We start from the raw sequence: 16,183 nt of genomic DNA on the forward strand, positions 1-16,183 counted from the left end.
GGTTCCAACAGACCTGAGGCCCCGAGGGTGATGCTTCTGCTGGGCAGCCGGGTTACTTTTGCCACGGAGAGAAGTGTGCAGGTGGCCCTCATAGTTGGTAAATACCTGTGACCACAGAGAGAGATACCTGGTAAACAATGCTGACAGTCACGGAAGGCTGTGGGCGACTGCTGGGCACCCGTTCCTCAGCGTGGCCTCAGAAGAGCTGCCATCTAGAGCCACGCCTGTGCCCTGTTCCCTCCTGGCCCCTCCGCCTCCCACTGCAGTCAAGGCCCCATCTGCACCATTTGCCATGACATGCACAGGGTGATCCATACCTTTCCCACTGTGCCCTGTGGTCACTGGTCAGGGATGAGGTCACGTCCTCAGACCTCAGGGACACAGCTGCTGAGGTCATGGTCCTTAAGGAAGGCCCTGCCAGAGTGGCCTGGGGATGTCCAGGCAGTTCCAGAAGGAGTCCAGAGCGGCTGCCCTTGAGAAGGAGATGGGTGTGCCCTGAGGAGGGGCAGGAGAAGGGGGTGCTGGGGGGCTCTAAGGCAGGGCCAGCCCCCAGGTCCCCAGGCATGGGCCTGAGGACCGGAACCAACTTGCACCCAGGCCCTCCCAGCCAATGCCCAGCCCCTGGCACTGCTGCCTGTGAGTGAGGACAGTGATGCCAGCCAGAGGACAAATGGGATGCACAGGGCGTCCCTGTGCCCCCCAAGGGAATGAAAAAGGGGTCTGAGGGCTCTCTAGCAGGAGAGGAGGGGCGCCCCACACCGCCCAGGTCCTAGAACCCAGGTGGAAGGAGGAGGCCTGTGGACTGAGGGGAGGAAGGAACAGACAGGGGCCTGCGGACAGACAGGTGGACCCCGACAGGCCCAGATAGGAAGCGCGTTGTGGCATTTCTGCCGCAGGACCCCTTTCCCTTGCCCGCTAGAGGGCGGCGCTGCCCCAGAGACGCACAGCCAGCGGCTTAGCCAAGGCCCCAGCACCAGCGGCCCTGGGCCCTGCCCTGACCCTGTGCTGACTCTGCAGCAGCCTCAGCTCCGAGTCCTAGTGTCTGTCGTGTGAATTATGATTTGTGACCAAAACCTTTGTCTTTCATGTGAGTTATCTGTGACTGAAAGCCTTCTTTCTCTCTCCCCTGAGTTACCATTTATGACTAAAACCGTTCTCTTACTGCCTCTGGGTCATTTTTTACTAAAACCTTTATCACCTGAGCTATCACTTGTGACTGAAAACCTTGTCCATCACCTGAGCTATTTAGTTTTGATTGAAACATCTTTTCTTTGTCATACCTACAAGAATCATAAATTATCCTTTATGACTTGCAGCTTCATCTGTCAATTTAGTTATCATTTATGAGTGAATTCCTTTTATCTTTATCAGCTGAGCTATCATATATGGCTGGAAAACTTTCTTCTCTCTCGCCTGAGTTACCTGTAATGGAAGGCTTCTCTGTATTACTGGACTTATTTACAACTACAGCGTCTGTCTCTCTAGCACTTGAGTTATCATTTATTTATGACTGGCCACCCCGCATCTCTCTCACCTGGTATCATTTATGTCTAAAACCTTTCATTCTCTATCAACTGAATTATTACTGGAAAATGTCTTTCCCCATCATCTAGTTGTCATTCATGATTCAGACCGTTTTCAGTCACCTCAGTTCCTTGTGGCTGGACACTTTTCTTTCTCCATCATCTGAATTGTGATTTATGACTACAGCCTTTCTTTTTATCACCTGAATTATCACATATGACTGGAAAAATGTATGAATGGAAACCTTTTTCTCTACCACCAAATTTCTATCTAAGCCTTTTTGGGTTTTGGGTGGCAGTGGGGGGTTGTTTGATTTTTTTTGTGTGTTTTTTGTTTGTTTTGTTTTTGAGACAGGGTGTTGTTCTGTCACCTAGGCTGGAGTGAGTGGTGCCATCACAGCTTGGCCTTCACCTCCTGGGCTCAATCAATCCTCCAGCCTCAGCCTCCTGCATAGATTGGACCAGGGGCCTGCGCCACCACACTGGCTATCCTTTTATTTTTAGTAGAGACAGGGTCTTGCTATATTGCCCAGGCTGGTCTTGAACTCCTGGCCTCAAGCAATCCTCCTGCCTCAGCCTCCCAAAGTGCTGAGATTATAGACGTGAGTTACTGTGCCCAGCCTTACAAAACCGCTTTTTCTTTATCACCTGAATTACCATTTATGACTGGCACCTTCTTTCTGTTACCTGAGTTATCATTTATGACAGGAAAACTTCCTTCTGTCTCACCTGAGTTGCTTATGATGGAAGGCTTCTCCCTGTATTACATGAATTATTTTTGAGTGAAGCATTCTATCATCTGAGCTATCATTTATGACTGAAACTTTGTATCTCTATCACCTAGATATCCTTTATGAATAAAAGCCTTTCCTTCTCTGTCATTTATGACTGTAATCGTTTTTCTGTATTACCTGAGTTGTCATTATTGCCCAAACCTTCTTTCCCTAGCACCTGAGTTACCACTGTGGCTGGAAACCTTCCTCATAACCCGAATTATCATGTGTGAGTGACACCTTCTTTTCTGTCACCTGGGTTACAATTTATGACCAGCAATCTTTCTCTCACCTGAGTTATCAATTATGACTGGTAGCCCTATTCTTTCTAGCAGCTGAGTTTTATTTATGACTAAAAACCTTTCTTTCTCTAGCATCTGATTTAACCCTTATGACTGGAACATTTCTTTCTCTATCACCTAATTATCATTCATGACCTCAAGCCTTCTTTCACTCAACTGAGTTATTTCTTATTGAAAAACCTTTCCTTCTCCACCTGAGTTGATTGATGACAAAAATCTTTCCTTCTCTGTCCATTGCCTGAGTTATAACCTGTGACTGGAAAACTTCACCCAGTTTTCATTCATGACTGAAAACCTTTCTTGACCATTGAAATGATATTTATAACTTGAAACCTTTGTTTTTCTATCCCTTGAATCATAATTTATAACTAAAACCTTTCCTTTTCTACCACTTATCACTTATGACATAACTTTATGAATCAAAACCCTTATTTCTGTAGCAGATGTATTATTTATGACTAGAAATCTTTCTCTATTACCTGAGTTATTATTTGTGACCTTGCTCTATCACTTCAGTTACCGTTTGTTACCTAGAACCTTTCTATCTCTACCATTTTCTATCGGAAACCTTTCTTTCTCTATTATTTATGACTAAAACTTTTCTTTATTACATGAGTTATCCTTATGGCCAGAAGCCTTCTTTCTCTGTTATATGAATTGTCACTTATTACTAAAACCTTTATTTCTCTTTTAGCTGTGTTATCCTTTATGGCAGGAAACCTGCCTTGATGTATCTACCTGAGTGATACATGAATAAGGCTTTTTTCTCCATTATCTGAGTAATTTGTGACTAAGCCTCTTTCTCTATCACCGGGTTTATCATGTATTAATGACTGAATACTTCATTATGTGATCAGTCTTTCTCTTCATTTGTGTGGTGGTTGGAAACCCTTTTTCTCCATCACTTTAGTTTGGATCTTTTGTTCTCTGTCATTGAGTTGTCATTTGGGACGGAGGCCGTCTTCCCCATCCCCTGAGTTCCGCTTTATGACAGCACCTCTCTTTCAAACCAAACCCTGTTGTAGTTTAGGGCTGGACACGTTTCTCTATCTCCCGAGTTACCATTTATGATGAGAAATCACCACTCATCCATCGCACGTGCTGTAATTCATGACTAAAACCTTTATTTCACTTGTTCTTCATTTTGGAAGCCTTCCTTCTCTATCACCTGATGATTATTACTGGAAATTTCTGTCTGTGTCACGCGAGTTACGGTTTTCTCTCTGGCGTTATTATTTTTACTGGAAACCTCCTTTCTCTCCCCCGTCCGAGCTGTCCTCGCGGCCGCAGCCTCCTCCTCCCGCCCTGCGGGGGCCGCCGTCCGCGCTTCTTCCCCGCCCGCCCCTCCTGGGCCCCTCGCGTCCCCCTTCCCTGTCACCCGAGCTTCGTTTGTGACTGAAACTCTGCTGCGTCTGTCATCTTGGTGTCCTCTATGAAAACCTTCCCAGAGCTCTTCACACTCCACACGTGGCTTTTATTTAGTGTTTTCTACCTACTCGGCAGCGTTTCCTGGGGAGGGAAGGCACCCAGAGCCTCCGGAGCCACGCGGCGCTGTGTTCCCGCGCCCTCGGCTTCCCTGTTGCTCAGGGTTATTTCTTCCTGCCATCAGCTGGAGAAGCGCTCTCCGAATATTTCCCCGGGAACGCGGACTTGCCGGCCCTGCGAGGCACCCGGCGGGAACCGGCGGAAAGGGAGGAACGGCTGGATGGCGCCCGCGCCTGGCAGCCCCGTGTGCCCGAGGCCAGGAGGGACCGGGCGAGCCTGGGGGCTGCGTCAGGGCCGCTCCGAGGGCGGCTTCGCGGGGACTCGGGCCCCGCCCCAGGCCAGGCAGGGTGTGACCGCCCCCTAGTGCGGGAGGCTGCGTCTACACCCGCGCCCAGGACCCTGGAAGCCACGGAACTGGCCCCACCCCACGCACCGAGTCCACGAAGCCCTCGCCCCCAGCCTCACCGGCTTCCAGACCTGTCCCGAAGCCCTGTTCTCCGCGGCTCTGGGTGGGCGCGGGTGGCGCTGGGGCGACCCCAAATCCAGGCCAGGAGCCCAAATCAGGCCACGACCCCAAATCCAGGCCAGGACCTCAAATCCAGGCTAGGACCCCAAATCCAACCTGCAACCCCAAATCCAGGCCAGGACCCCAAATCCAAGACACAATCCTAGCCCAGCGACCTGGGGCTTCCCTTGGGCCAGCGACTGACTGCACCGGCCCTGCTGTTCCAGCCCCTCCTGGCCTCCCTCCTCCCATCCTTTACCCCAGCCTCTCCCCTGGCCTTTTCTGGCAGCCTCTCCTTCCGGCCTTTGCCCCCGCAGGCTTCACGTCCTCGCGAGCCAGAGCAGGGACGCCTTCACTGGGAGAATCTGCTCAGAGCTGATTTCGTTATCGATGAGTACTAACAAAATATTATTTTACACTGATGTGTTAGTTTTTTAAAAAATGTGCTTAAGCCAGGAGGCTTTTTAGGATATCTTCTTCTACTGCTCAACAGCCATCTAAGAACTTATAAAACGTACATCCAGTTGTGTTTGGGGCTAGAGAGAGTACTGGGTGACGTCATCACTGACATCCTCAACAGATCTCTATTTACAATGCTTAAAAGTTGCTCCAGTGAACCGACAGGTAAGTACTTGAAGACCATCACCGACCTTTAGTGTTGGAATTTCACTCCTGCCTTCATGATGTCCAGGGAGCGGAATACTACAAACAGGTTGATATGCTTTGGATTTGTGTCCCCACCCAACTCTAATGTCGAATTGCAATCCCCAGTGTTGGAGGTGGGGGTCGGTGGGAGGTGATTGGATCATGGGGGCTGATTTCCTCCTTTGGTGCTGTTCTGATAGAATTCTCCTGAGATCTTGTTTAAAAGTACATGACTCTCTCCCCATCTTCCTCCTGCTCTGGCCATGCGGAGACATGCCTGCTTCCCCTTCACCTTCCACCATGATTGTAAGTTTCCTGAGACCTCACCAGCCATATTTTCTCTACAACCTGTGGAAACATGAGCCAATTAAACTGCTTTTCTTTATAAATTATCCAGTCTTGGCCGGGCGTGGTGGCCGTAGCCTGTAATCCCAGCACTTTGGGAGGCCGAGGCGGGTGGATCACCTGAGGTCAGGAGTTCGAGACCAGCCTGGCCAACATGATGAAACCCTGTCTCTACTAAAAATACAAAAAATTAGCCAGGGGTGATAGCGGACGCCTGTAATCCCAGCTACTCAGGAGGCTGAGGCAGGAGAATCACTTGAACCCAGGAGGCAGAGGTTGCAGTGAGCCAAGATCGTGCTACTGTACTCCAGCCTGGGCAACAAGAGCAAAACTCCATCTCTAAATAAATAAATAAATAAACCAGTCTCAGGCAGTTCTTTATAGCAATGGGAGAATGGCTAATACAGAAAATTGGTACCTAGGAGTGGGCATTGCTGTAGTGATACCTGAAAATATGGAAGTGACTTTGGAACTGGGTAACAGGTAAAGGTTGGAAGAGTGTGGAGGGCTCAGATGAAGACAGGAAGATAAGGGAAAGTTTGGAATTTCTTAGGGATTTGTTAAATTGTTGTGACCCAAATGCTGAATAATGATATGGACAATGAAGTCCAGGCTGAGGTGATCGCAGATGGAGATGAGGAACTTATTGGAAACTAGAGAAAAAGTCACTTTTGTTATGCGTTAGCAAAGAATTTGGTGACATTTTGCCCCTGCCCTAGAGATCTATGGAACTTTGAACTTGAGAGAGATGATTTAGGGTATCTGGAAGAAGAAATTTTTAAGCAATAAAGCTTTCAAGAGGTGATCTGGCTGTTTCTAAAAGTGTACACTCATATGTGTGAAGAAAGAGATTATCTGAAACTGGAACTTGTATTTAAAAGGGAAGCAGAGCATAAAAGTTTGGGAAATTTGCAGCCCAGCCTTGTTGTAGAAAAAGAAAAACCCATTTTCTAAGGAGAAATTCAAGCCTGCTGCAGAAATTTGTATAGCATAAGTAAAGAGGAGCCAAATGTTAATAACCAAGACAATGGGAAAATGTCTTCAGGGCATGTCAGAGATCTTCACAGCAGCCCTACCCATCACAGGCTCAGAGACCTAGGAGGGAAAAATGGTTTCATGGGCCAGGCCCAGAGCCCAGCTAGCTCTGTACAGTCTCAGGACATGGTGCCCTGTGTCCCAGCTGCTCCAGCTCCAGCTGTGGCTAAAAGGGGCCAAGGTACAACTTGGGCCATGGCTTCAGAGGGTGCAAGGCCCAAGCATTGGTGACTTCCACATGGTGTGGGGCCTGCAGGTGCACAGAAGTCAAGAGTTGAGATTTGGGAACTTCTGCCTAGATTTCAGAAGATACATGGAAATGCCTGGATGTTCAGGCAGAAGTCTGGTATGGGGCAGAGCCCTCATGCAGAACCTCTACTAGGGCAGTGCAGAGGAGAAATGTGGGGTTGGAGCCCCCACACAGAGTCTTCACTGCAGCACTGCCTAGTGGAGCTGTCAGAGGAGGGCCACTGTCTTGCAGACCTCAGAATGGTAGATCCACTGACAGCTTGCACCATGCACCTGGAATAGCTGCAGGCACTCAACAACAGCCTGTGAAGACAACCATGGGAGCTGTACCCTGCAGAGCCACAGGGGCAGAACTGCCCAATGCCATGGGTGCCCACCCTTTGCATCACCATGATCTGGATGTCAGACATGGAGTCAAAGGAGATCATTTCAGAGCTTTAATATATTAATGGCTGCCCTGCTAGGTTTCAGACTTGCATTGGGCCTGTAGCCCCTCACTTTCGACCGATTTAACCCACTTGGAATGAGAGCATTTACTCAGTGCCTGTGCCTCCATTGTATCTTGGAAGTAACTAATTTGTTTTTTATTTTACAGGCTCAGGGGAAGGAGGGATTTGCCTTGTCTCAGATGAGACTTTGGACTTGGGCTTTTAAGTTAGTGCTGACTTAAGACTTTGGGGGACAGTTGGGAAGGGATGATTTATTTTACAATATGAGAAGGACATGAGATTTGGGAGAGGCCAGGGGTGAAATGATATGGTTTGGATTTGTGTCCCCACACAAACCTCATGTTGAATTGTAATCCCCAAAGCTGGAGGTGGAGCATGGTGGGAGGTGATTGGATCGTGGGAGCTGATTTCTTCCTTGGCTGATGTTCTCATAGAGGTCTCATGAGATCTGTTAAAAAGCATATGGCACCTACCCTCTCTTTCTCCTCCTCCTGCTCTGGTCAAGTGAAGATGTGCCTGCTTCCCCTTAGACTTCCACAATGATTGTAAGATTTCTCAGGTATTTAGAGCACTGCAAGAACAGACATACACAGGTATACTCCAAATACTTCCACCGTGAGCACCATCACCTCCAAATGTGTTCACCTGTGAGCACCTTCACCTCCCAGTACATTCACCTGTGAGTACATAACCTACTGGTACATTCACCTGTGAGCACCTTCACCTCCCAGTACATTCGCCTGTGAGCACATAACCTACTCGTACATTCACTGTGAGTACCTTCACCTCCCAGTACATTCACCTGTGAGTACCTTCATCTCCCAGTACATTCACCTGTGAGCACCTTCACCTTCCAGTACATTCACCTGTGACAGATTCCCCTCCCAGTACATTCATTCACCTGTGAGCACATTTAATCCCAGTACATTCACCTGTGAACACATTCACCTCCCCGTACATTCACCTGTGAGCACATTAACCTGTGAATATGATCACCTGTGTACAGACTCTCAGGCTGCACCGGAGAATTTAACTGACGCAGAAAGATCAACAGGAGGAAAGCACGGAAGCTTATTTAAAGGAAGCTCTATATGGTGGGAGAGCCTCCCATGGAAGGAATGCCCTAAAGCCACAGAGTTGGACACTCACACCCATGTGAGCAAACAGGACTTGCAAGAAGTGGATGGGTGGATCTCTAGTGGCTCACCGGCCCTAAATCCTCATAGAGCCCAGTGACCGTTTGCTGACTAGAGGTCACACGGGTACCCGGAGTTCCTTGAAATCCCATACCTCTGTTAAACTTTGGGACTTCCAGAGCTCCCCTGAACCAACCCATCAGAACACAGGAAGTTTGAATTTTTCATTTGCATAAGCGAACCTATGTGAGAACTTTCAGTATAAAAGCTGGACCCTCTCTTTGTTCTCTGGAAAGCATCCTGGTTTTACGCTGAAGGCAGCATCTCCCACTTCACAAACTGTTCATAGGAATAGTCTTTCCTCTACATTCCTTTTCAAAGAACTTTTGTGCACCCTGAATTGGAGGTGGAGTAGTAAGCTGTGAAAAATACATTGTGTGCGGAGGCTGCCAAGAAGAGTGATTTTAAGGAGGCTATGCTGAAATCTCTCTGGGTCTGGGCCTCCCACTGTTGATAAGAAAGATGCTTTCCCAAACGTATGGGGAGGGCATCTTTCACATGAGAATTTCGTCTCCTGCTTTTAAGACATGGAATGGCGATCAGCTTAAAGCCAGAGCAATGCCTTTGGGGTGGTGGGCTCTTAGCTCCTTCAGGATCACGCCACAGAAGGAAATCGGTGAGCACCTGCTCCCGCCCTCAGAAAAAGCTGCAGTTTCTTAGGGAGTGACAGCTGTTCATGCCAGCTTTGGGGGCACTTCCCATCTGGAGCAAAGGAGGTCAACTTCGAACAGCACGAAGCCAGCTGCTTCCCAAGGTAAGAAATGTCAACAAAATTCAAGTGACCAAACTCTCCGTTTTGAAGATGGGGACTCTCAGTTTGGGGACAGGCCACACCGCTTCAAGAGAGCATGGGGTTCTGCACCCGCACCTCTGAGCCCTCCTTTCAAAGGACGCATTTGGTTCTTGCCTCGTTGGAAAGGCAGGTGGAGCTTCATTTAAGGAATAATGACCCTGCCATTACTGGCCATTTTGGGCTTGATTCATTTTCCTTTCCATAAACTCAGCCAAAGAGAGTCAAAGGCTTCCTTTAAGACACTCTCTTTTCTGTACTTGGACCTGCAGTGTGGCCCCTGGGAGGTGGACAATGACTTCACTCTCAGCTCACAGCATCCTTGCGTTCTGTGTCAGGGGAGCAAAATCCCATGTGAACTGGGCACCCTCCCTTTCCACAGACATTAACCCCCAAACGTGAGAGCGGGCTCCCAGCCACCTGGAAGGCAGCAGCATCCACGCCGCCGGAGCTGGTGTCTGAGGGGCAGATGGCATGGACAGGCTCCTCCCTTCAGGCATTGCTATGTCCTGGGAAGGAACAGAGAGAGGAATACAAGGATGATGGGAGTCAATTCAGTAATTCCAAGTGGGACATTAACATGCCAGCCCTCTGCTCACTGAGGGACAGAGTGGTCTGCCCAGAGGAAGCATGGTAGCCTGGGCCCGAGCTGCGGGACTGAGTGGCTGCCCTCCTGAAACCCACCCTCCTCTGTCCAAGAGCAGGAGCTGTGTTCAGCTGGGCAAGGCTGATGACTGAAGCCTGGCTGCTGGTGCCTGGGAATAAATCAGAGGCTGACGATGGTCACTGGAGAAGAACAGCAACAAGGCATCAGTGACGATTGCCACCTGTCAGTCGCCTCCTCAGAACCACATCCTGAGCTGAGCTGTGACTAACTTGACCTCTGCACCTCTGTGAAAAAGGATATGGCTGCCCGTTTTCCAGCAAGGAATGAGGACTGAGGGCAGCTCTTGGCTTTGGTTGGCCAGGGCTTGAACCTTCTGTTTCTGGGCAGAACTAGAGCCATAAGGGGTGATCCAAAGGGAAGGCAATTCCTGGGTTCACCCATAAACTCATAACAGAGTTGTTATACTTTCTGCTGAGATAAATGACTTCTTTTATTTCCCTTTTGGAGAACAATTGCCCAATGTTCTGGCTAGTTTTTATTTGGCTTAAATTTTGGAATGAAAGGAAAGTATGACCCATTAGTGAAGCTGGATGTGAAGATGGAGAAAGTGTGTATGCCTGTGTCTCCATGAGAAAGACAAGACTAAGCAAGAAATACTAACCCCTGAGCAGCAGGTCAGGCCCTCTTCTGGAAATGAACCTAAAGTTAGGTCTCTGTGTACTTTCTAATTATATTAGTCTGTCTTCACACTGCTATAAAGAACTATCAGAGACTGGGTAATTTATGAAGAAAGAAGATTTAATTGACTCAGTTCTGCAGGCTTAACAGGAAGCATGACTGGGAGGCCTCAGGAAACTTATAATCATGGTGGAAGGTGAAAGGGAAGCAACGCACATTTTCCTATGGTGGAGCAGGAGAGAGAGAGTGACGGGGGAAGTACCACACACTTTAAAACTTTCAGATCTCATGAAAACTCACTATCATGAGAACAGCAAGGGGGAAGTCAGCCCCCTGGATTCAGTCACCTCCCACCAGGCCTCTCACCAATTCAACATGAGATTTGGGTGGGTACACAAATCTAAACCACAAAATTTGACCCCTGGCCCTTCCCAAAGCTTACGTCCTTCTCACATTGCAAAATGCAATTATCCCTTCTCAACAGTCCCTGAGTCTTAACTCATTTTAGCATTAACTGAAATCTCCACAGTCCAAAGTCTTATCTGAGACAAGATAAGTCCCTTCCAGCTATGATCCTGTAAAATAAAAAATAGTTACTTCCAAGATATAATGGGGGTATAGGCATTGGGTAAATGCTTCCATTCCAAATGGAAGAAATTGGGCAAAAGAAAGGGGCTACAGGCCCCATGCGAGTCCAAAACTCAGCAGGGCAGGCATTAAACCATAAAGCTCCAAAGTGATCTCCTTTGACTCTGTGTCCCACATCCAGGCCACACTGACACAAGGAGTGGGCTCCCATGGCCTTGGGCAGCTCTGCCTCTGTGGCTCTGCAGGGTACAGCCACCATGGCAACTTTCATGGGCTGGTGTTGAGTGCCTGTGACTTTTCCAGGTGCATGGTGCAAGCTGTCAGTGGATCTACCATTCTGAGATCTGCAAGACAGTGGCCCTCCTCTGACAGCTCCACTAGGCAGTGCTGCAGTGAGGACTCTGTGTGGGGGCTCCAACCCCACATTTCTCCTCTGCACTGCCCTAGTAGAGGTTCTCCATGAGGACTCTGCAGGCAGACTTCTGCCTGGACATCTAGGCATTTCCATATATCTTCTGAAATCTAGGCAGAGGTTCCCAAACCTCAGCTCTTGACTTCTGTGCACCTGCAGGCCCCACACCATGTGGAAGTCACCAATGCTTGGGCCTTGCACCCTCTGAAGCCATGGCCCAAGTTGTACCTTGGCCCCTTTTAGCCACAGCTGGAGCTGAAGCAACTAAGATGCAGAATGCCATATTCTGATGCTGTACAGAACAGCTGGGCCCTGGGCCTGGCCCATGAAACCATTTTTCCCTCCTAGGCCTCTGGGCCTGTGTGGAAGGGGCTTCCATGAAGGTCTCTGACATGCCCTGGATACATTTCCCTCATTGTCTTGGCTATTTGGCTCATCTTTACAAGCAAATTTCTGCAGCAAGCTTGAATTTCTCCCCAGAAAATGGGTTTTCTTTTCTACCACATGGCTGCGCTGCAGATTTTCCAAATTTTTATGCTCTGCTTCCCTTTTAAATATAAATTCCAGCTTTATATAATCTCTTTGTTCACGCATATGAGCATACACTTTTAGAAACAGCCAGGTTGGCCGGGTGCAGTGGCTCATGCCTGTAATCCTAGCACTTTGGGAGGCCATGGCAGGTGGATTGCCTGAGCTCAGGAGTTCAAAACCAGCCTGGACAACACGTGAAACCCTGTCTCTACTAAAAATACAAAAAAAAAAAAAATTAGCTGGGTGTGGCGATGTGTGCCTGTAGTCCCAGCTACTCTGGAGGCTAAGGCAGGAAAATTGCCTGAACCCAGAAAGTGGAGGTTGCAGTGAGCTGAGATCGCTCCACTGCACTCCAGCCTGGGTGACAGCAAGAATCTGTCTCCAAAAATAAATAAATAAATAAAAATAATAAAACAAAGAAACGGCCAGGTCACATGGTTACATGTTGAACACTTTGCTGCTTAGGTATATTTTCCACCAGATACTCTAAATCATCTCTCTCAAGTTGAAGTTCCACAGGTCTCTAGGGCAGGGGCAAAATGCCACCAGTCTCTTTGCTAAAGCATAGCAAGAGTCACCTTTACTCCAGTTCCCAATAAGTTCCTAATCTTCATCTGAGACCACCTCAGCCTGGACTTCATTGTCAATATCACTATCGGCATTTTGGTTGAAACCATTCAACAAGTCTAGGAAGTTCCAAACTTTCCCACATCATCCTATTTCTTCTGAGTCCTCCAAACTGTTTCAACCTCTTCCCATGACCCAATTCCAAAGTTGTTTCCACATTTTCAGGTATCTTTGTAGTAATGCCCCACTTTCCTGGTACCAATTTTCTGTATTCATCCATTCTCACACTGCTATAAAGAACTACCTGAGACTGGGTAATTTATGAAGAAAAGAGGTTTAATTCACTCAGTTTCACAGGCTTAACAGGAAGCATGGGTAGGAAGCCTCAGGAAACTTACAATCATGGCAGAAGGGGAAGCAAGGTACATCTTGTGGTGGAGCAGGAGAGAGAGAGCGAAGGGGGAAGTGCTGCACACACTTAAACCGTCAGATCTCGTGAGATCTCACTATGATGAGAACAGCAAGGGAAGTTGGCCCCTTGGATTCAATCACCTCCCACCAGGCCCCTCCTCCAACTTGACATGAGATTTAGGGGTGACACAAATCCAAACCATATCACTAATCTTCCCTTGTGGCGAGATGAGCAGCTCAGTGTTTGCACAGCCTGAGGAATGAGTGAATTGCTGCAACTTAAACTTCCAGCAGGCAGATGACAAGCTGTCCATTCGACACAGTCAAAGGCTTGGTCTTACGCTGCGTGTGTGACTACAAGCAGACCCTCTCTCGCCTGCGTGAGGAAGTGGAGTTGATACCTATTACATGGCTCAACACTTTAGTCATCGGGTCCTCAGGAAGTTGGAAGCCTCTAAGCCCAGAGGCAGCCTGGACCCTTCCTCACAGATGCTTGGTGCTGGCAGTCCCACACTGTCCCCCACGGTGGCAAGCGGTGGTGTTTCTGGAATGTTCCACTTCACCCTCGTTCCTGTGTGTTCTCCTGCCCATGGTCTGTTGTCACGAGGCCTGTGCCCTGACGCTGGATCTGCCTGTCTCCGGCCGCTGCTGGGTCCTGCTCTGCACCTTCATGAGAAGCCATCTAGGAAAGTTTCTTCTTGTTTCTCCCGACTGGGGTTCATTCCCATGGGACTGGGGAACTGGGACTTTGCCCCGCTTTAAAGTTCTCCCTCTGGCTTCCTCCGTGGGCTATAGCCCTGACCCCACCCCAGCACGGAGAGAGCCAGTCGGCATCCTGGCTGCCCACTCAAGCTGGTGCCGTCACAGGGAGAGGCTGGGTTGGGAATCATGACGTCTTTGGATAGAGAGCTTTGCTTTTCACCTTCATGCCAGTTGTTTTCATGAAATCCACAGAAACTTCCTTTAGAAGAAGTCTTACCTAGAAGCCCACCCTGTAAATGAAGTGAAACAGAATTCTCTGGTGAGAGGAAGGTGGAATCTGGGACCCCACAGGTGGTTCTGTGGCCCCCTAGAGACCCCCTTCTGTGGTGGCTCCAGAATGTGGCCCCATGTGGTGTGTTGGTGGCTTCCCATGACATGTGTGCCTGTGCCCCCCACGCCATGTCCTCTTCTTGGTGCATCTGCAGCCCCCTCATGTCTGAGGCCTCCTCAGTGCTCTCTTTCTGGGCCCCTATCCCCATAGCCTCCACCTCCTGTGGCATGTCTGTGGTCCTCTCCTTGGTGCACCCATGGAGAGGTGCACCTCTGTCGTATACTGAAACACATCCGGGCTCTGCAGAGTTCAGCAGGCCACGCTTCTACTTCAGGCTGCCTTTCAGGAAGAAAAGTTTCTTCCCCAGCTTGGGGATTGTGATGGGAAAAACAAGATACCGGGGAGGGGTGATAAAAGAGGAGTGTGGTGGGAACTTGTTCTAGGAAAAACATTCAGTGGCGGACTTCCTGGAGAGGCTTGGACCTGAGCTCTTGGGAAGCTTTGCAATCTCTCCCATCGTGCTGAAGGGGAAACAGAGGCCGTGTAGGTTGCTGGGGCCAGTGGGCCTGTGCCTTGATCCGCCCGGAGCAGGCTGGAGGATTCAGTGTCTTGGTCGCCATGATCCCAGACACCATGCTAGGTGACATAGAGCCTCTGGCAAAACAAAGGGGACAGACTGGCTCCTTCCTCAAGAGGGAGTGTGTTGCTTCAGTAAAGCCACCCTGAGCTTTAAGGCAGAGTTTTAGGGTAAGAGTTCAGGCAGCTGAAAGCCATCAAGTCAGCGGGGCTGAGATCCTCCCAAACTGGGGCAAGGACCAGGGCTTGGATGTCAGAAGTAAAGTCAGAGGCCGTCTGGGCCAAGGGGACCCCTGAGCACACACTATAAGCATGGCGGGCGGTGGCAGGACTGCACCTGGGCACTGAGTGTCCACCACCTGACACCCCTGGGGAGCAGGGGCTGGCATCCCAGGGCTGCACCGCGACCCAAGGAGAGGCTCCTTGACCAACAGTTGCAGGTTGCAGCTCCCAGGTGTGGAGCACACTTGAAGATTCTCACTCTGGTGACCCAAAGCAGGATCAGCTGTGGATGCTTGTGTTTTGTTTCGCTTAAAGTTTCCCTTTTGTGGCTGGGCGCAGTGGCTCACGCCTGTAATCCCAGCACTTTGGGAAGCAGAAGTGGGTGGATCACCTGAGGTCAGGAGTTCGAGCACAGCTGGCCAATGTGGAGAAACCCTGTCTCTACTAAAAATACAAAAATTAGCTGGTCCTGGTGGCGCACACCTGTAATTCCAGCTACTCAGGAGGCTAAGGCAGGAGAATTGCTTAACACCGGGAGGCAGAGTTTGCAATGAGCTGACAGGGTGCCACTGCACTCCACCTGGGTGACAGAGCAAGACTCCGTCTCAAAAAAAAAAAAAAGGTTCCTTTTTGTCCCATGTCCATGTTCTCGGCATGCCGGGACCACTGCCTGTCCGTGGAGGTGTCTGGCCCAGCAGGGTCACTGCTGAGCAAGCAGAGAGGTGGGCCCATGTTCCGGGCTGGGCTGGGAACGTATCCCTGACTCCAGGCCCAGGACTCAGGACCCACAACCTCCAGGACAGACCTCAGCCCAGTGGCCCTGGCTTTGGGGTCAGGGCTGAGGCTGGTGGCAGCCCACCCACCCCTGGTGTGGCACTCATACCACCTCCTCTGGACCGGGCCTCTCGTCAGGAGAGGAAGGCTCAGGGGGAAGGCAGGGACAGAGGATGGAGGTGGGTGGCCAGAGCTCCACGTTCTTGTGAGAAGACCGAATGCCAGACCAAAGCTGGAGCAAGACTGAAGAGGACCAGGCAGGGAGAAGGGAGGCCAGGTCGCCTCTGCCGTGGTCTACCCCTGCTGCGTCTCCTGGGCTCAATCTCCTGTTTTGAGTTCTTAACTTAGATGCTTTGCTCACTAAGCTCTCTTCTTTTCCAGGTGAGTGTTTAACACATTTCTCTCAGAGCCATTCCTGCTGCCTCCCACATGCCCAAGAGTGGGGGAGTCTATCATTCAATTCCAGAAACTTCTCATTTCCACTATG

General features: G+C 49.6%; 2 annotated features.

The window, feature by feature from the left end:
- Nucleotides 4,470–4,529: a silencer, noted in NCBI's record as "silent region_15879". NCBI's record gives its function as "represses an Ori minimal core promoter by ATAC-STARR-seq in GM12878 lymphoblastoid cells {active_cell/tissue: GM12878}" and the evidence as "EXISTENCE:reporter gene assay evidence [ECO:0000049][PMID:35858748]".
- Nucleotides 6,815–6,991: a silencer, noted in NCBI's record as "fragment chr5:929600-929776 (GRCh37/hg19 assembly coordinates)". NCBI's record gives its function as "represses an EF-1alpha promoter that drives an FKBP-Casp9 reporter gene in an ReSE screen in HepG2 liver carcinoma cells {active_cell/tissue: HepG2}" and the evidence as "EXISTENCE:reporter gene assay evidence [ECO:0000049][PMID:32094911]".

The sequence above is a fragment of the Homo sapiens genome, chromosome 5 (assembly GCF_000001405.40).
Source record: "Homo sapiens chromosome 5, GRCh38.p14 Primary Assembly".
In the NCBI taxonomy this organism is placed as follows: domain Eukaryota; kingdom Metazoa; phylum Chordata; class Mammalia; order Primates; family Hominidae; genus Homo; species Homo sapiens.